This window comes from Homo sapiens, chromosome 1, assembly GCF_000001405.40.
Source record: "Homo sapiens chromosome 1, GRCh38.p14 Primary Assembly".
NCBI lineage: Eukaryota > Metazoa > Chordata > Mammalia > Primates > Hominidae > Homo > Homo sapiens.
In genome coordinates this window covers 34,772,522-34,792,791 of record NC_000001.11, presented here as the reverse complement: position 1 = coordinate 34,792,791, position 20,270 = coordinate 34,772,522, and the positions used below count along the sequence as shown (strand labels likewise).

The 20,270-nt window shown below is 51.4% G+C and overlaps 1 protein-coding gene across 2 annotated transcripts, besides 6 other annotated features; it reads right to left on the bottom strand.

Annotated features, from left to right (window-relative positions):
* Positions 235–735: an enhancer, noted in NCBI's record as "H3K4me1 hESC enhancer chr1:35257658-35258158 (GRCh37/hg19 assembly coordinates)". NCBI's record gives its function as "activates a minimal SCP1, AML or CMV promoter by ChIP-STARR-seq in naive H9 embryonic stem cells {active_cell/tissue: H9 hESC(naive)}" and the evidence as "EXISTENCE:reporter gene assay evidence [ECO:0000049][PMID:30033119]".
* Positions 4,461–4,520: a silencer, noted in NCBI's record as "silent region_627". NCBI's record gives its function as "represses an Ori minimal core promoter by ATAC-STARR-seq in GM12878 lymphoblastoid cells {active_cell/tissue: GM12878}" and the evidence as "EXISTENCE:reporter gene assay evidence [ECO:0000049][PMID:35858748]".
* Positions 5,626–5,826: a silencer, noted in NCBI's record as "fragment chr1:35252567-35252767 (GRCh37/hg19 assembly coordinates)". NCBI's record gives its function as "represses an EF-1alpha promoter that drives an FKBP-Casp9 reporter gene in an ReSE screen in HepG2 liver carcinoma cells {active_cell/tissue: HepG2}" and the evidence as "EXISTENCE:reporter gene assay evidence [ECO:0000049][PMID:32094911]".
* Positions 6,039–6,244: a silencer, noted in NCBI's record as "fragment chr1:35252149-35252354 (GRCh37/hg19 assembly coordinates)". NCBI's record gives its function as "represses an EF-1alpha promoter that drives an FKBP-Casp9 reporter gene in an ReSE screen in phorbol 12-myristate 13-acetate-treated (for megakaryocytic differentiation) K562 erythroleukemia cells {active_cell/tissue: K562(+PMA)}" and the evidence as "EXISTENCE:reporter gene assay evidence [ECO:0000049][PMID:32094911]".
* Positions 6,039–6,269: a biological region, named in NCBI's record as "ReSE screen-validated silencer GRCh37_chr1:35252149-35252354".
* Positions 6,080–6,269: a silencer, noted in NCBI's record as "silent region_626". NCBI's record gives its function as "represses an Ori minimal core promoter by ATAC-STARR-seq in GM12878 lymphoblastoid cells {active_cell/tissue: GM12878}" and the evidence as "EXISTENCE:reporter gene assay evidence [ECO:0000049][PMID:35858748]".
* Positions 6,428–11,578, bottom strand: GJB3 (gap junction protein beta 3). 2 transcript variants are annotated; one of them, NM_024009.3, is made up of 2 exons: positions 11,014–11,578; positions 6,428–8,054 (listed from the first exon to the last, which is right to left on the bottom strand). In NM_024009.3, exon 2 carries the CDS (start codon positions 8,027–8,029, stop codon positions 7,217–7,219), a length of 813 nt encoding a protein of 270 aa, NP_076872.1. In that variant the 5' UTR covers positions 8,030–8,054; positions 11,014–11,578; the 3' UTR covers positions 6,428–7,216. The 2 variants fall into 2 exon arrangements, with proteins under 2 accessions (NP_076872.1, NP_001005752.1); NM_001005752.2 differs by lacking the exon at positions 11,014–11,578 and adding an exon at positions 10,350–10,524.

Sequence of the window (20,270 nt, the reverse complement as noted above, 5' to 3'; positions counted from 1 at the left end):
TGTTCTCTCTCCACCAGGTATTCCAGACAGTAAACTCTCCTGTCGTTTCTTTGGCCAGGGAAGGAGAGTTCTCCCAGGCCAGGATCTCTCAGGGTGGCTGGATTTGAAGGGGTTGCAGTAAGGGCTGTGGATCTGGGCAACTGGCCTGCGGGGCTGTGAGGGGTGGGCGGATGGGGATGGAGTGTGGGGACCACTCATTTGCTAGGTGGCTGGCCCTAGTGTGCCAGGATGAGGCGATCAAGGCTAATTACGGCGCGGGAAGCTCCAATGGGGGACAGGGGTTGTAATCCACACCTCCAGCATACATGGTGGAGCAGGCGTCTCTATCCACGCCCAGCCCACGTTCTTCCAGAATTCTCAAACATCCCCATGTCTGGGCAGGCTACACAATCAGAGGCCATTAAGCAATTCCCATGGACTCCTTGAGACTGGGGGTGGGGGAACCACCTGACCTTTAGCTTGGACCCCGTTCTTATGCCTCTAAATGGTGGCTGGGTGGTGTGGGGGACATCCATAGGAATGAAAGGGCTATGCGGAGCCTGCCTTCATGCATTCAGGCATCACAGGTGGATGAGCATCAGTGAGCATCTGCTGTGCTGCAGACGCTGCTTGGGGACCTGGGGATACCCTGAGGAACCAGCCAAACTTGGTCTCTGGCCTCCTCCCTCACTGGCTGGTGCAGGGATTGAGCATATCAGCCCTTGGATAACGGTAAGATAATAAATGTGGAAAGTTCTCCTGAGAGGTACTGGGTGATTCCCAGGGGACTTGGTTAGGAACATTTCCTGGAGGAGAGGAAATGCTTTTCCCCCTCCATTAGCCAAGTGGAAGGGAAGAGCATTCTAGGTAGAGGGGCGGCATGAGTGTGGCTCGAGGGCCTGGAGCTGTGGGGTTCTGAGACTGTGGCCACTGCCCTCGGAGTGCTGAGACGTTGTTGGTGGCTGAGCCCAGGAGCTGAGACTTTGCTGTTGACTCCTGTACCCTTAGGCAAGTTACTCAAATCCCTGTGCCTCAATTTCTTCCTCTACAGAATGAGAATAGTGATAGTATCTACTTTGTGGGGTTGATGGCATACAGTGTGATCAAAGCACATAGTGTAATAGTGGTACATAAAGTTTTTCAAGTGAGTGGTGGCTAAAAACATTGTGATACTGTAACAAAAAGGGTCTGTGGGTTGTTCTTAGAGGGTGGTAGGGGCTGGCGCAGCTGAGGAAAGGGAAGGTGGCAGGGGGCTGTTGAGGCCTGGGGCTGGTGGCACAGAAGTCCCTGTTCCTCCACAGCAAGATTTAGTCCTTGGATTCCCTGGGCCCCAGGGCCGGGTCCCTGAGGGTTCTGTCTTCAGGACCAGCAGGAGGACATCTTTGGGGACACGCAGACCTGAGAACTTCAGGGCTAGCTGCCCTGAGGGATCCGGCTGGGCTGGCTTCCCCTCTAGGCCTCTCCCTCAGGGCCAGGCTGAACTGAGTCTCCTGGATTTCTGAAGCTAACAACTGCCCCACTTAATTCTGACCCTTGAGGGCATGAGAACCGAGGCCCCTGGAGGCTGGTTCTCACCACGCCCCCACTGCAGCCTCTGCTCACTACCGAGTTTTCCTCTCTTGGGGCTGGGCCCAGCTCTCCCAAAGCCTTTCTGATTCAGTATACTGGGAAAGAGGGAAGAGCCAGTGGAGGGCTGGGGAGTGACGTCAAGGCTGCCCTCACCCTGCTCTGACTCCTTCCTCAAGGGCTTTGGAGGTTTGAATAACTCGGCCTCCTCCCCAGAGGATGAAGAAGCTGGGATCAACTAAGACAACAGTTACCACAACCTGGTCATTCCACCTGGAAATGTCCCTGGAACCACATGCTTCCCTGCATTCCCTTTGCCCTGGTCCTGTTCAGGCTGCTGCCACCTCAGTGGCCTCCCAGCTGGTCTCTTGACCTCTAGCCCCACCCTTCCAACTCAGCCTCCACACTTCCCTAGAAATCTGACCAACATCGCCCTGCTGAAAAGTCATCTATGGCTCCCTATCACCTTCTGGGTAAGCCCTAGGCTCCCCAACCTCCAGTCCCTGGCCACTTCTCCAGCCTTACCCCTCACCCTTCTCGCTGTGACCCAACCAGGTCTCACTGATGGGGTTCTCTGTGCGCTCTTGCCTTTGTCCCTGCTGTTCCCTCTGCATGGAGCACCCTCACGTGCTGAACGCTGTGAATCAGGACTTTTCTCAGTTGTTGCCTTCTCCCAGAAGTCCCCTTGCTGGCTCCCTCTGTGCTAGGTGTACCTTTGTGCTTTCAGCAGCTCAGCTACTACCCATGGTGCTTTGTTTTTGTTATTTAAAAATTTTTAATTATGTTAAAAAGCAGCTACCATAAAATGTATCATCTTAAGGATTTTAAGTGTACAGTTCAGTAGTGTTGAGTATATTCACGTTGTTTTGCAACAGATCTCCAGAACTTTGCCATCTTGCAAAACTGAAACTCTGTCTCTAGTAAACCACTCCCCTTTCCCCATTCCTTGGTGCATGGTCTACTTATCTTTATTCCCCTCCTCCATTAGACTGTGAGCCCTTTGAGGGCAGGCAGCTGGGTCTTTATATCTCCACCACCTAGCAGGGCACCAGATCTGTATATAAATTTGTTAATTTAACAAGTATTTAGTTTGGTGCAAAAGTAATTGTGGTTTTTGCTATTAAAAGCAATAGTTACTAAGCACCTCCTATGTGCTGTGATGCCATCCTAGACAGTGGAGATAACCAGGGAACAACAACAAAAAAATCCCTGTCCTCGGAGGTTTTACATTCTAGCAAAATGTAGAACATGTTAGACGGTGATGAATGCTCTGGGGGAAATGAAGTAGGGAGGAGTGAGAGTGCAGGGGTGGCAAGTTTCAGTTTCTTTTGTTTTTTTTTTTTTTTGAGATGGAGTCTTGCTCTGTTGCCCAGGCTGGAGTGCAGTGGTGCGATCTTAACTCACTGCAACCTCCACCTCCCAGGTTCAAGCGATTCTCCTGCCTCAGCCTCTCAAGTAGCTGGGACTACAGGCGCATGCCACCACGCCCAGCTAATTTTTGTATTTTTAGTAGAGACGGGGTTTCACTGTGTTGGCCAGGATGGTCTCGATCTCTTGACCTCATGATCCACCCGCCTCGGCCTCCCAAAGTGCTGGGATTATAAGCGTGAGTCACTGTGGCCGGCCTCAATTTCTAGTAGGAGAGGAGAGAACGCCTCACTAAGCAGCTGACATTTGATGCAAGCCCTGAAGGCAGGGAGGAAGCCCCGTGGCTATCTGGGGGCACAGCATTTCAGACAGAGGGAACCTAGGATGCAAAGGCCCTGGGGAAGGAGTGTGCCTGGTGTTTCCTGGCTTGGGGGACAGCAGGAGATCAGTGTGGTTGCAGCAGGTGAGGAAAGCGAAGTGAGTTTAGAAAGGCAACAGGCGAGATGCGGATGGGGCAGATCTTGCGGGCCCTTGAAGGCCTGTGTAAGATGTCTTTGGAGGTTTGGGACAGAGGAGTGACATGGCCTGACTTAGGTTTTGACAGGATCACCCCAGCTGCTGTGCTGGGAATAGACTACAGGGGTGGGTGACAGACAGACATCCCCCTTCAATGTAGGACTTGCTGTGTAGCGGTGTGGAGACTGGCCAGCTGACTGCCTTCACCTATCAGCACTTCCAGGTGTGCTTCTGCTGTCTAAGTGGCCATGTTCTTCTTGGGGTGGCCTCAGGCCATGACTGAACCAGGGGGTGGTCAAGGCCTCGCCATTGCTGTCCGGTGCAGAGCTGCCCGCATGGACAGTCTCTGCTTCTGAGCTCCCTGGGACACATCTTGTTGCTCAATCCTGCTTCCTCCCCTTTTACACTTATAGGAGTCACTCCCCAATGTACCCACTTAGCCCTTCCTCAGAGTCCACTTCCCAGAGTCAGGGGCAGGAAGCGAGAAGATGGAAGCAGTCATCCCGGGGAGAGATTTGTCAGTTTGGGCTGCTGTAAGACTGAGTAGTTTAAACAACAAACATTCATTTCTCACAGCTGGGGAGCACAGAAGTCCGAGATCCAGGTGCCAGCATGGTCAAGTTCTTGGTGAGGGCCATTTTCTCTTTGTATCCTCACATGGAGGAGAGAGAGAGAGATCATCTCGTTCTTATCTCTTCTTATAAGGGCACTAATCCCATTCAGGAGGGCTCCATCCCATGACTTAATGATCCCTGAAGGCCCCACCTCCTAATACCATCACACTGGGGGGTAGAGCTTCAGCATATGAATTTTGGGAAGACACAAACATTCAGTCCATATGGGGACTTGGACCAGGGTGAATGAATACAAAGGAATGTCCTGTTTATCTTGGGCTGCAGGGTGGCTGTGACCTTACACAGTAGATGTGGATTTGAAGACTATATGAAATCCTAATCTCATATGCATGATTGGAGGGAGTTTGCAGTGAATCCTCATGGGTGGGGAAGGCGGAGGTAGAGGAACGTACCCTGAGAACGTCAAGGGGACGTGAGGGCCACCTTGTGGTGACTTAATGTGCCCTGGCTCTTGGTGGTGAATAGTAGTCACCCAATACATACTGGATGAGATCAGTGAACTGCACTGCTCAGAACAGCTCCAGGCCAAAGGCAGGCTGTGCAGGGCTGGAATGTCCCCTCCTCCATGGTCCTGGCCCACAGCCTGGAGAAAAGGGGCCAGGACTAGAAGCTCAGTCCTTGCTGAGCGTTAATTCTCTGCAGGAATAGCCAGTGATGTTCTCTGGTTACTCTGACCTCCAAGCCACCCTTGGCCAGGCAGCCAGAACCACCCAGGAAGATGCTGGAATGCATGTTGGCAAGTAGGTGGCGACCACCCCTCCCTGAGACCTTTGCAACCCTCCAGCCCAAGCAGAGGCTGACCTCCAGTGCATCAGGCAGAGACTCTCCTGAGCACAGTCATACCTGGGAATTTATCAGATACATTAGTGCTGTGCTAATGTTTTACCTGCAGTGTCTCCTTCTACCTCTACAAAAATCCTCTGTGTAGGAACAACTGGGTGTCATGCTGACCGTATTCCCTGTGTCCCTCAGGTCTACTCTCCACCCTGCCCTGTACACTGGGAGGCTGACTTGCCCTCTGACTTCCGGTTGGGTTAGGTCAGTGGGAGCCACTGGCAGGCGAGCAGATGGGAGAGTGAAGTTGGGGGATTTACTTGGTTGCTGGCATTGGATGCATCCTGTCCATTGTTACCCTGGTACTAGCCCCAGGGTGCTGCAGTAGCCATACCTTTGAAAACAGTCTCTCTAGGAAACTCCCTTTAAAGTTACTTGGTTTGAATGTGCCATCTGTTTTCTGCTAGGACCCTGATTGATCCAATTCCCATTGTACCGATGGCAAGACTGAGGTTCTAAAGGCCTGCCCAAGATGTAGTGCGGGGAAGCTGTGCTCAGGAATGGTCAAGCTATGAATCAGTCATGGGGGTGTAGGGACAGTGTCAGCCGGCCCTGGGTCCTTTAAACTTGGCTGGCTTATCCACCTTCAAATGGCTACTTGTGAGAGCACAGGTGAACCACTGGCTGTTCTGTTTCCGTGATGACCCCACCTGTCTTTGCTGGCTGTGGCGCTTGGCTCACTGGCTCCTGAATTTCTGACTCCCGGCCTCGGCTGTGATAGTCACTAAGTGTTCCACTGGGTTAATATAGCCTTGCATCCTCTTTTGCTTTCCATTTGGGTCTGGCCTTGGGTGTTGGTGTCCCCTAAATTTCAGGTCATGACACAGCACTGGGAGCAGGGCTGTGAGCCATCCCAGGGGTTGGTTAGTGCGGGAGATGAGCCTGTGTTCCTGTCTCTTAGCTCCGTGGGCATAGGTCCTACCTCCTTGCACAGTCCCAGCATCCTGCCAGGGCCCTAGTTCAGCGAAAATGTTCAGGGAAAATGGGATGAGCCGAATAAAATGCAGGGTGAGGCTGGGATGGCATGCTTGAGTGCAGACTACATGCCCTGTTGAGAGTGCGCATAAGGAGTGAGAGTATGAATAACAGAGATTGTGTGTACACAGGGTGGGGATGTGTGTTGAGATGGCAGTGACTGGGTGACAGAGGAGGGAGTGTGGTTTGTCTATAGTGAGAGTGGCAGTGATTGTGTGTGTACTCAGGGTGAAGTCTAATTACGAAGGCTGGAAGCACCGTTGCAGAGGGAGCACAGCGCACTCTTGTGGCCACAGCTAGAATCCCAACATATGTATCAGTAGGTTCCACCCCAGCCTCCTCCTCTGGTACAAACCCAGCTCCCGGCTGTCAACATCAGCCCCAGCCTAACCGAGCTCCAGCTCAAGCCCCAGCTGCAGCCACAGCCACAGCCCCCACCCTAGCTCCACCCCGAGCCATGGAACTCTTTCCCTTTCTGAGGGCTTACCTTTCCCTACCTTCAGGGTTCTGTCAGTGGGTGGGAGTGTGGGAGAACCAGAGACAGAGCCAACCTGTATAAAACACAGTATTTATTGATTTCAAGGAAACTGTCTTGAGGATGTTCTATCAGCGCATCCACCCAAGTCCCTGGGAGCAGGGTCTGAAAGGCTGGCACCAGCCTGAGCACAGTTGTGGGGAGGAAGATGGGAGCACCACTGCCTGAGGCTGAGGGAGTAGGATTTGGGGAAAGAGGGCTTCCACTGAGCCAAGTGATGACCTGGGGGACCTCTGGGTATCTCCAGAACCTCTAGTCAGGTTCATTCTCAGCCCTCCAGACCTGCTGCTGCTGGAAGACCTCCTCTCCACTGCAGGAATCTGGGCGGCTCCTCTGGAGGGAGTAGAGATGCCTTAGGTCTGCTGAGGCTAGCCCAGGGCGAGCATCACTTTTTGTGTGGCCTCCAGACCTCTGTGCTGCTGTTGTGTCTGCTTGGGAGCACTTCTCACCTCTCTTACACATTATGTCCTCAGGGAAGCCTCTCCTGATCATCCCTTCCTGGGTTGATCCCTTCCTGGTTGAAGCCCTGCTAGCAGTGCCCTAAGTGGCCCCTTGCAGGCAGCGTAGATAGTTAATTCGCTTGTTTCAAAGTCTATGTCCTTTGAGGGCTGGCACTGGGCCTGTGGGTTACCTATACCCGGCTAGACAGCCCAGTTCCCAGTGTCAAAAAATATCTGCCAAAACGAAAGTTGCATAACTTAGTGAACTCAGAGTGGGGTCACTCAGCCCCTGTAGGACCTCTCCACCTGCCACACCGCCCTGCATGTCCCATTGGCAGCCCGCATGTTGCCCCACCCCTGCCCTGTGGTCAGATGGGGGTCAGGTTGGGTGCTGAAGCCTGCAGCTTGTTATTGCCTGGGTCTGGATCCACCTCCCCAGCCTCCACCAGCTTGTGGTGGCAGCGGCAGGTGGAAGCTCGGCTGGCGGAGGACGAGGGGCTGCAACCCCCTCGAGGCTTGTCCTTGTGCAGGCCTCGCAGGACCCTGTGGCAGATGAGGTAGCAGAGCTCACAGATGGTGAGTACGATGCAGACGGCGGAGGCGCCCACCATGAAGTAGGTGAAGATTTTCTTCTCGGTAGGTCGGGCAATGTAGCAGTCCACGATGTTGGGGCAGGGGGCCACGTTGGCACACTGCACCAGGCGCGGCATATTGAAGCCATGCCAGAGAGTGTGCAGCAGGTAGAGGAAGAGGAACTCAATGATGAGCTTGAAGATGAGGCTGAACAGGTAGGTCCACCACAGGCCTCCGTGCTTCTTGCCTGCGTTGTCGTACAGCTTGGCGCACTGGTCCCCGTGTTTCTGGCGGTGCCGGCGCTCCCGCTCCTCACGGTAGGCCACGTGCAGGATGACCAGCAGCGAGGGGCATGTGACGAAGATGAGCTGCAGGGCCCAGAGGCGGATGTTGGAGATGGGGAAGTAGTTGTCGTAGCAGACGTTGGTGCAGCCGGGCTGCTTGGTGTTGCAGTCAAAGTCCTTCTGCTCATCCCCCCACACGCGCTCTGCAGCCACCACGTATACCAGCACCCGGAAGACGAACACCACGGACAGCCAGATGCGCCCGAACGCTGTGGAGTACTTGTTCACACCGCTCAGTAGGGCCTGGAGTGTCTTCCAGTCCATGGCGCCTGGTGGGGGCCGTGCCTACCTGAGAGAATTAGAGGAAAAACCATCGTATGAATGAATAGGTGACTTTATTGAGCATTTACTATGTACCAGGCAGTGTTCTGAGTTCTGACTTGTTCAATACTCACAACGACCCTCTGAGTTCAGAACTGTTATTCCTCCCAAGCTGCAGATAGGAAACTGAGGCACAGCAAGGTTATATAACTTAACCAAAGGCAACAGAGCTAGTATGCTGGAAGGAAGCAAATATGCTTTGGCTGATAATAACAATCACCATTTATTGAGTGTTTACTCAGAGTCAGGCATGAAGTTAAACACTTTATGAGCAGAACCTCATTTAATCTCTTAGAATGACCCCATAAGGTAGTTATTACAGTGCTCCTCACTTACAGATGAAACTGATCATTGAACGATTGCAAAGCAAGTAGTACATAGTAAGTGCCCCATAAATGCTGGCTACTCATTACTGTGAAATTTAGAGAGGTCAAGTCACTCACTTAAAACAAGAGGTGGATTCAAGGCCAGGCTGTTGGGTACCAGAGCCTGTGCTCTCCACCACCTCCTCTTCCCTTCTCCGCTGGACTCCTGCCCTAGACCAGATTCTTGAAACGTTTACTTTGTGGATGCCTCACTACTATACTGTGAAGTTGCAGTTATGAGTCCCATTCTACAGCAGGGAAACTGAGGCTCAGAGAGGAGAAATAACCAGCTCAAGGTCTCACAGCTGCTGGGTGGTGAAGAGGGGAGACCAGTTCAGGTGGGGGGTGCATGGAGCCTTATGATCTGACTCCTGGGAGGACACTAGATCCAGGGAATATCTAGAGAAAACTCCCTGCTCCCTGTGCTGGGCCTGGGGAAGCCCAGCCACCCCCAGCCACACTAGTTGCCAGGGCCTTGTGGTGGAAAGATGTGCTTTGTTCAGGCCTTAACTCACACATCTTCCTCCCAGTCCTGGAGTGACTCAGAGGGTGTGGACGGGTGGGTCTGCCTGAGTGTGCCTTGTTTCTGTGCTGCTGTGGGTGTGAGAGCACCCGCCTGCCTGTCCACGTGTGTGTGTGGGCCTATGTGCATGTGAGTCCCCCTGGAGCTGACTTGCACCTCTGAGCATGCGTGATGCCTGCGAGGCCACCACCCTGCCCCAAACCACTATTATTCTGGCCTGTATTATGGCCTCTTTACTGGCTTTTCACCTTCCCCCTGTGCCCCTAGAGTCCATTAAATCAGTTCATGCCACTCCCTTGTTTAAGACTCTACTAGCTTCTCGCTAGGCTTAGCAAAACCCCAGATTCGACATTTTCACCCTGCCACCCTGGAATAAGGGCCTTGGGGGCTTTTTACTGATTCCTTCTGCCTGGAATGCTCTTCCTCCAGAACCTCACATGGGTGGATCCTTCTCATCACAGAGGCCTCTGCTCAAACCTCATCTCTTTAGAGGCCTCTCCAGATTACCCTGGGTCTGAAAGAGCCCCTGCTTCTGTCACTCTGTTCCTGTCCCCTTTCTTTTTTTTTTTTGAGCCAAGGCCTTGCTGTGTCGCCCAGGCTGGAGTGCAGTGGTGCGACCTTGGCTCACTGCAACCTCTGCTTCCCAGGCTCAAGGGAGCCTCCTACCTCAGCCTCCCACGTAGCTGGGACCACAGGTGCACACCACTATGCCCACCTAATTTTTCCAGCCCCCTCTGTTTTCTTTATAGCACTTAGTCACTATCTGAAATTAAAGAATTTGTCCTTTTTTTTTGGTCTTATTAATTATCTGGCTCCCCCTCTAGAATGTCAACTTGGTCTTGCTCACTGCTTTATATTTAGTGCCCAGTGCTTGGCACATAGTAGGCACTCAGCGCTGAATGGGTAAACAAATGAATGCTGAGTTTTCAGCAAGGCAGCTTGGAGGGAGGGGACAGGAGGGTGGGCAGGATCCTGGTCAGGGGGCAGCCTGGTCAGGGGGATTGGGGGAAAGACTTCCCTACACTGGAGAGAGGGAGAGAGCACAGTTCCTTCTCAGCACCTGGCTCTCCTGGCTGCGTTTCCTCTGGGAATCACAGTCTGGGCAGGATGGGGTGATTGGGAAGACCTCATTCTTGGAAACCCTCCTCTTCTCCCCTACTCTGCTCCTTCTAAGCCCTCGTGGTGGGGGAAGGGAGTGGGATAGCATGGAACACGGAGTTCCACCTGGATTCAAACCTCAGCTTGGCCACTTAGTAGCTGGGCGACTTCCAAGAATTCCCTAATCTCATTGACCCTATTTACTAATCTCTAAAGGGAAATAATTCCTACTTTCTGGTAGAATCCTGAGACTCTTCCCTCCCAGGCTGCTACTCACCTGGTGGGAGTTCACAAGAACTGAAGTGAAGGTTGGAGCCCTGTCTGTCCGGACAGAGAGCAGAGAGGGACCCTGACGGCTGCTTCCACCTGACACACTCCCATGGCTGCCCACCAGGGTGCAGCTCCCTCCTGGGCCCCCATCTTCTACCCTTGGGTGCTGTCTGCCCAGTCCCTCCTGACACACCCCAGGGAGGAGCTTCACTGGCAAAGAATTTCCTTCCCAAGTCTAGGCTGGGGACTGGTGGAGCCGGTTCTGGTTCCCCCAGCTGCCCTCCAAAGCCAGCTCCCAGCGCAACCGTTTTTTCCCTGACCCCCAGACTGTACTGTGCCCAGCCCTACCTCCCGCCCCACAATGTCCCTGAAGGATAAAGCTCCCTTTCCTTCCCAGTTTCCCTCCATCCTAGGCAGCTTGGGAGCTTGCGGACTTGGGGAGGGGGTGTCTCGGAACCTTCCCGCAGCCGGGACCCCTAATGGGCCCAGAATTGAGAGGCGAGAGGGAGGATTGAGAGGTACGGGGTGGCGGGCTCCCCGCACCCCCGCTTCGCGCCCCATCCCAGCGCACTGGCAGGCTCAAGCCCCAGCCCTGCCGCAGGGGGTCGCCAGGAGCGCTTGGCGCCCCTGAGGGTCCCGCCCAGCCTCGCCCCGCCCCGTCCAGCACTTACCTGCAGCGGCCTGGCCAACGCGGTGGCCTGACCCCGCGTCCCCGGGGCCCACAGCAGAGGCGAGGGCGCCGGAGCTGGGCTCAGCAGTGGTGCACACAGACGGCGGGCACACCCCGGGCGGCGCGGAGGAGGGAGCAGGAGGGAGCCGGCTCCTAGACCCGACGCTGCCAGGCGCTCCCGGGCCAGCCTCCGGAGGGGCTGGTGGCCCGTCTGAGCCTCCGCTTCCTCAGGCGTGAAATGGGGGCATCGGTGGCCATGGGCTGGGCTGTCCGAAGGCTCCAATGAGATCAGGGGCGGGAAGCACTCTGCAAACTGTTAAGTGCCGCGGCGGCAGGTCCGACTGCAATCAGGACTCGCCCACGCTAGTTTGCCGCGAGTACCGTGCCCGCTTCCGGCCCAGCCCGGTCCCCGCTTGGCGCGGGACCTTGACCGTGCGTGGGGCACCCCTGGGAGCCCCCCCTCCCGGTGCGACGGGCCGTCGACCTCGGCCTCCAGGGAGGCCGGTGGGCTTTGGAGAGCTGGGGTGGGGGGCAGACCTTGTACCCACAGCGGGAAGGGGCACAGTGAGTCCTGTGCCAGGAAAGAAGTTCAGGAATGAGGGCGGGTTGGGGGAGGTCACCGCCTGGAGTGACTCAGAGGGGCAGACTGCAACCGGAGCTGCCTACCTGAACACCAGGGTCCCTAGTTTCTTGTTTTCCTTCCTGAATCGTCTGTTCATATTCAACTATATAGTCTTAACCTGTGGAAGTATGCTATCTACACTCTTCTGCACGTTGCTTTTTTTCACTTAGCAAAATACGACATTTCTCCCATCAGTCGATATAGAGCTGCCTTGCTCTCTCATTTTAAAAACAGCTGAATAGTATATGTACTGTAATATATTTTATCAGTCCTACTCTGATAAAAATTAAGGCTGTTTCTAGTTTTTTATTTCATTCTATTACAAATACCATTGCAGTAAATAGCCTCTGCCAAAGCAGGTGGGTCTGCGGCTGGGGTGGGGCTGGGCTGTGCCCTGGGGATAAGGACACATTGTCTTATTTACTAGTGTGTCCTGACTAGGAACTAATAAAAGCCTGCAGTGCCCCAGCCTCTTTTGGAAAACCCCAGGGTTTCCAGCCTCCCTTGGGAGTCCCTGGATCTTAGGGTGGGGCCCGAGTCCTGTCTCCACAGAGATGATATTGCTGGCACTATGGTGGCTCCACATGGTGTTTGCCCAGGACTGTACTGGTTTATGTTTGCAGTGCTGGCATCATTAACAATGCCCCCTTTTACTTTCAAAAATGCCCCAAAGTTAGGAGCATCAATTATGGTCACCCTCCTCCTATTCATTTTGGTAGAGAATGAGCACTGAGTTGGGAGCCCAGCGGCATCTTTGCACCCGACACTGTCCCACATGCTTTATTTCATCATGGCAGCATCCAGATGAGGAAGGTCCAATCCCTCCTACTTTTATGAATGAGAAAGCTGAGGCACACAGGGGTGAGGTGACTTGCTCAGGGTCACACAGATAATAAGCAGCAGACCCAGCTCTGGAGGCCTCAGCAGTGTTGTTTCCAGATACAGAAAAGCCGCAGGGCAGAGGCTCCCTTGTACTCACTGGGGTCGTGGCCCTTGAAAATCTTTGCTGAGATTGAGGAGTGCCAGGTGGCTCAGGTGCATGTGCTATGCTCTGTGCATGGGCAGCGGGGAAGTGAGCATGAGGGTGTGGGGCCCTGGACTCTGCCGCCTGCTGCTCTGCTCCCTGTCAGAGCAAGACTTGCTCCCCGCTACCTCCCCTCCTAGTCATTTTTTGACACATTTGAACAATGTTCCTGTCCCTACCATGTCACTAAAAACGGCTTATCAGAGTCTCCGTGGATCTCCATAATGCTAAATCCAGCAATCACAGCTCTGTCCCCATGACCCTTGACCTTCAGAAGCACCTGGGACAATGGGGCACTCCTTCCTTCTAGAAACACTTTCTTCCCCGTGCTTCCTTGACACCACAGGCCTCACATCCTGGCCTCTAAGGTGGGCATGTCCCAGGGCCCAGTCTCTTCCTTCCCAGGTGAGCTCACCCAGTCCTGGGGCTCTAGATACCATCCACTCACTGATGATTCACACATTTCCAACACCGGACGTGACTTCTCCCTGAACACCAGACTGTAACCGGAGCTGCCTACCTGAACACCAGGGTCCCTAGTTTCTTGTTCTTACTCCCAAATCACCTGTTCATATTCAACTATATATTCTTTTTACATTTAACCTATGGAAGTGTGCTATGCTATCTGCACTCTTTTGCACTTTGCTTTCTTCATTTAACAAAATATGAGACATTCCCCCCATCAGTGGATATGGAGCTGCCTTGCTCTCTCATTTTAAAAACAGCTGAATAGTATATGTACTCTATTTAATCAGTCCTATTCTGATGAAAAGGCTGTTTCCACTTTTTTATTTCATTCTATTACAAATACCATTGCGTGACTATCCTTGGATAATCATTATTGAACACATTTGAAAATTGTGTCTACAGGACATATTCCTACATGTGAAATGTTTGCTTTAAAGTTGTATGTGTATTTAAAATTTTGATACATATTGCCCAATCGTCTTCACAGATGTTTCAGTTTGCACTCCAAGGGACAAGGGAGTGCCTGTATCCCCATATACGTACCAATAGAGAGCGTTATCAAGCTTTATGATCTTTGTCAATGATATCTCATCATACTTTATTTTGCATTTCTCTTGGTATGAGTGAGATTGAGCATCTTTTCACATATTTAAGGGCCGCTTTTGTTTGTTATCCTGTGAACAGTTCTTTGCCTTTGCCATTTTTCTATTGGATGGTTGACTTTTATTATTTATTTCTCAGGAGCTCTTTACATACTAAAGAAATAAGCCCTCCTCTGTCTGTGATACAAATAGAAAGGATTCCCTCTGCCTCTGCTGCTTCTTGACACCTGTGATTTGACTTTATAGACGGGGGTTTTGCCATACAGAATTAAACATGTTTTATGTAGTCCAGTGTATTAATATTATCTTTTATGGCCCTTGGGTTTTGTTGTCATTAGAAATGCCTTCACCACTCTGAGGACTGCAATAACATTTTTTCCCGTGGTTGCTTCTAGCTGAAGTAGTGTTTTAACGATCTATTAGACTGGTGCAAAAGTAATTGTGGTTTTTGCCATTGAAAGTAATGGTAAAAACCGCAGTTACTTTTGCACCAACCTAATAGATCATGCCACTTCCCTCTTAAAACCTTACAGTGACTTATCATTAACTTTAGACTGGCATCCACTCTCTTGACGTTGAGCCCCAAGGCACCAGGCGACCTAGTCCTGCCTCTCCCCCATCTCTCATCCCCTTGGGCGCTGTAGTGGCCTTCTTTCTGGTTCTTGAACAAGCCACATTCAGGTCAGCCTTCTGGTTTTTGCCTTTGCTGTTCTCTCTGCCTGGACTGCCTTCTCCTGACTCTTTACTTGGAAGCTTCCTCCTCCTTATTCAGGTCTCACCTTCTTACAGAGGTGTTCCCTGGTTCCCCCACCCCCACCCCAAATGTTCCTTGCTCCACTTCCTCAGCAGACACTCTTCACAGCCGTCTCTGAAATTATCTCCAGGAGAGCAGGGAGCTCCCTGGTCACGTTCCTGCCACATTACCAGGGCCTGGAATGTACAGACTCTCAGTCACTATTTGTAAACACTGGGTGCACATAAGGTTATGTGCGAGAACTGTTTCTGTGTGTGTAAGCCTGGAGAGCTGTGTGTTAAGGGTGGTATGTGGGCCACGTGTGTGTAGGCTTTGATGTGCGTTGTTGTGAGTGTGTGTGATGGTGGAGATGGCTGGGGTGGTGTGGGAGGCTGTGTGCATGTGTGGTTGTGAACGTGTGTGATGGCAGAGATGGCTGGGGTGGTGTGGGAGGCTGTGTGCATGTGTGGTTGTGAACGTGTGTGATGGCGGAGGTGGCTGGGGTGGTGTGGGAGGCTGTGTGCATGTGTGGTTGTGAACGTGTGTGATGGCGGAGATGGCTGGGGTGGTGTGGGAGGCTGTGTGCATGTGTGGTTGTGAATGTGTGTGATGGTGGAGGTGGCTGGGGTGGTGTGGGAGGCTGTGTGCATGTGTGGTTGTGAATGTGTGTGATGATGGAGATGGCTGGGGTGGTGTGGGAGGCTGTGTGCATATGTGGTTGTGGTGGTGTGTAGTGGTGTCTATGTGTGTGGTTGGGTTATTCTGCTCTGGTAACCAGGTGATTTTATCACCTAGGTCCTGTCATTCTGACTCTGCCAGATGCTGGCTTTTCACTCTTGATATGAGATAGTGCCCCCAACAACTGGCCTTTGCTTTTTCTGGAGTGAGCTGGAAGAGTTCCCCATTCCAGAGAGAATGGCTCTGAGAACCTTAATGCCTTGTGGTCCTGCCCTAAATTTCTGCTCCCTGAGTAGGGGAATGTGTAGGAGGCCATCTAGGCCATCCCCCTGCCTCAGGACAAAGCTGTGTTGCACCAGGGATTGGCAGCTGCCCTCAGGGCTTACACCTGCTCTCTAGGGGTGGCAGGGCCAGAGCCTGTACCTCTTCTGGCCCTGGCCCTGGCCCAGGCGGTGCTGCTCCCAGGCTGTCCTCTCCACCTAGAGCTCTGCCCAGGCCTCAGGCAGGTGCTTCCTGAGATGGGAAGACCACCCCGCCCCCCACCCCTGCCACCTCTCAGACTGGAGTTTTCCTTATCTTTGTGTGTCTGCAGCAGAGGCATGAGGCCCTTTCCTTCCTTGAGTGGAGAGGTGGGGCAGGCAGAAGCCATGGGAAACAGATCAGGCAGAGGGATGGGGGCTTTTGAGCCCTGCTCAGGCATGTCTGGGGCTGCAGGCAGGGAGGAGGCGATCTTCCAGGGAGGCCCTGGGCTGGAGTGTTGCTTATTTTCCAAGACACCTAGAGTTGCTCGAAACTTCTGCCCACACACCTTGCTCCTCGAATGGAGGTAATACGTGACTTTGCTGAGCTGCTGTCAGGAGCCAACCATACCATTCTAATATGCACGCACCCCTTCTTACCCACCAGGCACCTCCCTCCACCTCCTCTCTTCCTCCTCCATCATTGACCTTTTGCTCTTTACTGGATCTTTCCTGTTACCATGTGGGTATTTCTCCATCTTAACAACAAAACAACAAGACACCTTAACCTGAACCCCACTTCTCCTTCCAGCATCTGCCTCATTTCTTTCCACTCCTTTACAGCAAAATCTATCCAAAGACTTGTCCTGATTCATTATCTCCATTTTTTCTCTTTCATCTTCTCTTGAACTTACTCTAATCAAGCTTTAGCTTCCTATATGACACCAAAACTGCTCTTGTCAAAGTCCCTATAGCTAAACCCCATGGCCAAGTTTCAACCCTCATCTTTCCCTGAACCCTCAGCAGCGTTGAATGAAGTTGATTCCTCTCGCCTTGACACTATTCCTTTGGCTTCAGAGGCATCACACTCTCCTGACTTTTCTACTTCCTTTCTGCACTTTCTTTCTCAGTCTCCTTTGCTGGTTACTCCAGATCTTCCTGACTTTTAAGAACTGGGATGCCTTGAGGCTCAGTCCTTGCATTCTTTCTCTTCTCTGTCCTCCCTTGCTCACTTGGTAACATCATCCAGTCTCAGGGTTTAAAATACGAAAATTTAGCTGACAACCGCTAAATACGTATCCCCAGCCCAGACCATTCCTCTAAACTCTGTACTCATGTGTCCAGCTGTTAGTAAACTTTCTCCTAGGATGTTTAACATAGGTATCACAAACCTATGTTAAGCTCCTTACTTACTAGGGTTGCCAGATTTAGGAACAAAGCAAAAGCACAACCAGGACACCCAGTTAATTCTGAATTTCAGCTAGTACATGGGACACACATTAAAAAATTGTTGGCTGGGTGCGGTGGCTCACGCCTGTAATCCCAGCACTTTGGGAGGCCGAGGAGGGCAGATCACGAGGTCAAGAGATCCAGACCATCCTGGCCAACATGGTGAAATCCCATCTCTACTAAAAATACAAAAATTAGCTGGGCGTGGTGGCGCGTGCCTGTAGTCCCAGCTACTCAGGAAGCTGAGGCAGGAGAATCGCTTGAACCCAGGGAGGTGGAGGTTGCAGTGAGCCGAGATCGTGCCACTGCACTCCAGCCTGGTGACAGAGTGAGACTCTATCTCCAAAAAAAAAAAAAAAAAAAAAAAAAAAAAAAAGTTTGTCTGAAATTTGCTCATCTGGCAACCTATTCCTTTTCTTCCTCTCTGACCTTTTCTCTCACTTGTTCTAGTAAATGGCAGTTTTACTCATCGACTTGCTCAGGCCCCAAACCTTTGAGTCTTCATTGATCCTCTTTTCCCATATCCCACATTCAATGTCTGTGAATCATTTTGGTGCCACTTTCAAAATATTTATAGGGTCTGGCCACTTCTCGCTGACTCCATTAATATTATTGGGGTAACATGAAATCAAGAACCATTTCTTTCCTAGATGATTGCAGTAGCCTTGTAACTGGTCTTCCTGCTTTAGCCTTTGCCCCTACCCATTTGCTGCTAACAGAGCCGCCAGAGGGCTTGTGCTCCTGTTTGCTTAAAAATGCTGCACTGGCTTCCGACTCACTCTGACTGACAGCCGATGGCATCAGGATGGCCTGTAAGACCCTACACGATCGAGTCCTTCTCAGGCCTCACCCACAGGCTCTGGCCTCATTTCCACGTCTCGGCTCACTGGCTGCCCTGCCTCATTGGCTTCCTTGTGTCCTGGGTATGTGCCAAGACTTTCTGGGTCTCAGTGTCCCTGCACTTGCTCTTTCTTCTCTCTGAAATAGACTTACTGACCTTCCCCGGCCTCCCCATCTAAAATCGTAGTTCCTTTCTCAGCCTACCCTACTTCCTTTCCTGATTAATTTTTCTCCATAGCAGTATACCCATCTGACATATCCTGTATTTTGTTTGTGTTTTATGTTTGTTGTCTCTCATATCACTAGAAATCTGTGGGGACAGCCATTTACTTTCTGTTGTATTTGCTGCTATATTCCCAGTGCCTAAAACAGTGCCTGGCACTTAGTAGACAAAAAATACTTGTCGCACGAGTGAATAAAACCCCCACAGCATAGTAAGCTCCTGTCCCAGGCCAGTGCATGGCAGCCGTGTCATCAGTTCCCTTCTAGCTCAGCATCGCCACCTCCTACCCTCCAGAAGTTCCTCCCTGACCAGCTGCCCTCCTCCAGGAAGCCTTTTTTGGCTGAGCCTCATTTTTCCTCCCTCCTTCCTGCCACCAGGTAAGAATCCCTGGTGCTCAGGGGTCAAGTCAGTTGCGTGGCTGGCAGTAGTCTGTCTGTCCTCATCCAGCTTCTTCCCTCCTTCTGGATGGGAGGAGGCTCTTTGCTTGGCTGTGGTTTGAGCTGCAAGAGTATAGGGCATCAGGATGTCTGGGGAAGCCAGCTTAGGGTGAGGTGTGTGCAATAGGCCCTGAAATCAGTCTGCCACCTGCCATGTGGGAGCTTTTGGTGCCTTGATCCTGGGCTGAAGAGGTGATGGCAATGGATTTCAGGGCGTAGAGCTTAGATTGTATCTGAGCTGTAGGGCCATATTGTTCCCAGCCTCGCTGTCTCTACAAATTTGATAAGCACCTGATAAGATAGTTTGCCATTACCTGAGCTGTTAAGGATGAGGAAAGGAGCATATTGGGAGGGGCAGAAGAAAACAACAGGGTCGTCGTGCCTGGAGTTTGCTAAATGATCTGTATGTTTGTAAATGTGTTCTGGCACAACCATTTTTTTCCTTTTTTAAAATTTTATTTCAATAGTTTTTGGGGAACAGGTGGTTTTTGGTTACATGGATAAGTTATTTAGTGGTGATTTCTGAGATTTTGGTATACCTGTCATCCGAGCAGTGTACACTGTAGCCAGTATGTAGTCTTTTATCCCTTACCCCTCCTACCGTCCCCCCAATTCCCCAGACTCCATTCTGTCACTCTCATGCCTTTACTTCTTCATAGCTTAGCTCCTACTCATGAGTGAGAACATACAGTATTCTGTTTTCCATTCCTGAGTTATTTCACTTAGAATAATGGTCTCCACTCCATCCAAGCTGCTGGTGCAGCCATTTATTTATTTATTTATTTTTAAATTCATTTAATTTTACTTTAAGTTCTGGGATACATGTGCAGAACGTGCAGGTTTGTTGCATAGGTATACATGTGCCATGGTGGTTTGCTGCACCCATCAACCCATCATCTAGGTTTTAAGCCCTGCATGCATTAGGTATTTCTCCTAATGCTCTCCCTCCCCTTGCCCCCGACCCAGCGACAGGCCCCAGTGTGTGATGTTCCTTTCCCTGTATCCATGTGTTCTCACTGTTCAACTCCCACTTACGAGTGAGAACATGCGGTGTTTGGTTTTCTGTTGCTGTTAGTTTGCTGAGAATGATAGTTTCCAGGTTCATCCATGTCCTTGCAAAAGACATGAACTCATTCTTTTTTATGGCTGCATAGTGTTCCATGGTGTACATGTGCCACATTTTCTTTATCCAGTCTATCATTGATGGGTATTTGGGTTGGTGCCAAGTCTTTGCTACTGTAAATAGTGGGAGCAGCCATTTTTGACAAGGCCATTGGAACAGTTTGACATGGCCTTTAAAAACCATTTCTTATTATGATAAAAGTGCACAACAGAAGCTTCACCCCATCCCACATGCATTCCCAAGCTTCACCTAATCCCCAGCACTTAGCCCATCCCAAAGCCTCAGGACTGGTTGTTTTCACACAGCCAAAATGTCCCTTGCCTCCAGATGCCCTGCTATGGTTGGGTCTGAGTTTCCCGAGAGACATGTGTGTTTGGATGTCCAGTGGCAGCTGGATGCGTGGGACTGGGCCTCAGGAAAGAGAAGAGGAATTGGAACCCTTGTGTGAGTTGGTGCAAATGTAAAATAGTGCAGCCTTTCTGGGAAACAGCGTGGCAGTTCCTCAAGCACTTAAACACAGAATTACCATAGGGCCCAGCAAGTCACTCCTAGATATTCACGCAGAAGGATTGACAACAGAAACTTAAACAAATACTTGTACATGAATGTTCTTAGTAGCACTGTTCTCAATAGTCAAAAGGTGGAGACAACCCAAATGTCCATCAGTGCATGAATGGATAAATAAAATATGGTCTATTCACACAGTGAACTCTTACCCAATCATAAAAGTGAATGAAGTTCTGATACGTGCTACAATATGGATGAATCTTGAAAACATTATAAGTGAAATAAGTCACACACCCAGGGACAAATATGGTAT

Coding starts and splice junctions, on each gene's coding strand:
- GJB3 (NM_024009.3), bottom strand. CDS start 8,029: ATGGACTGGAAGACACTCCAGGCCCTACTGAGCGGTGTGAACAAGTAC.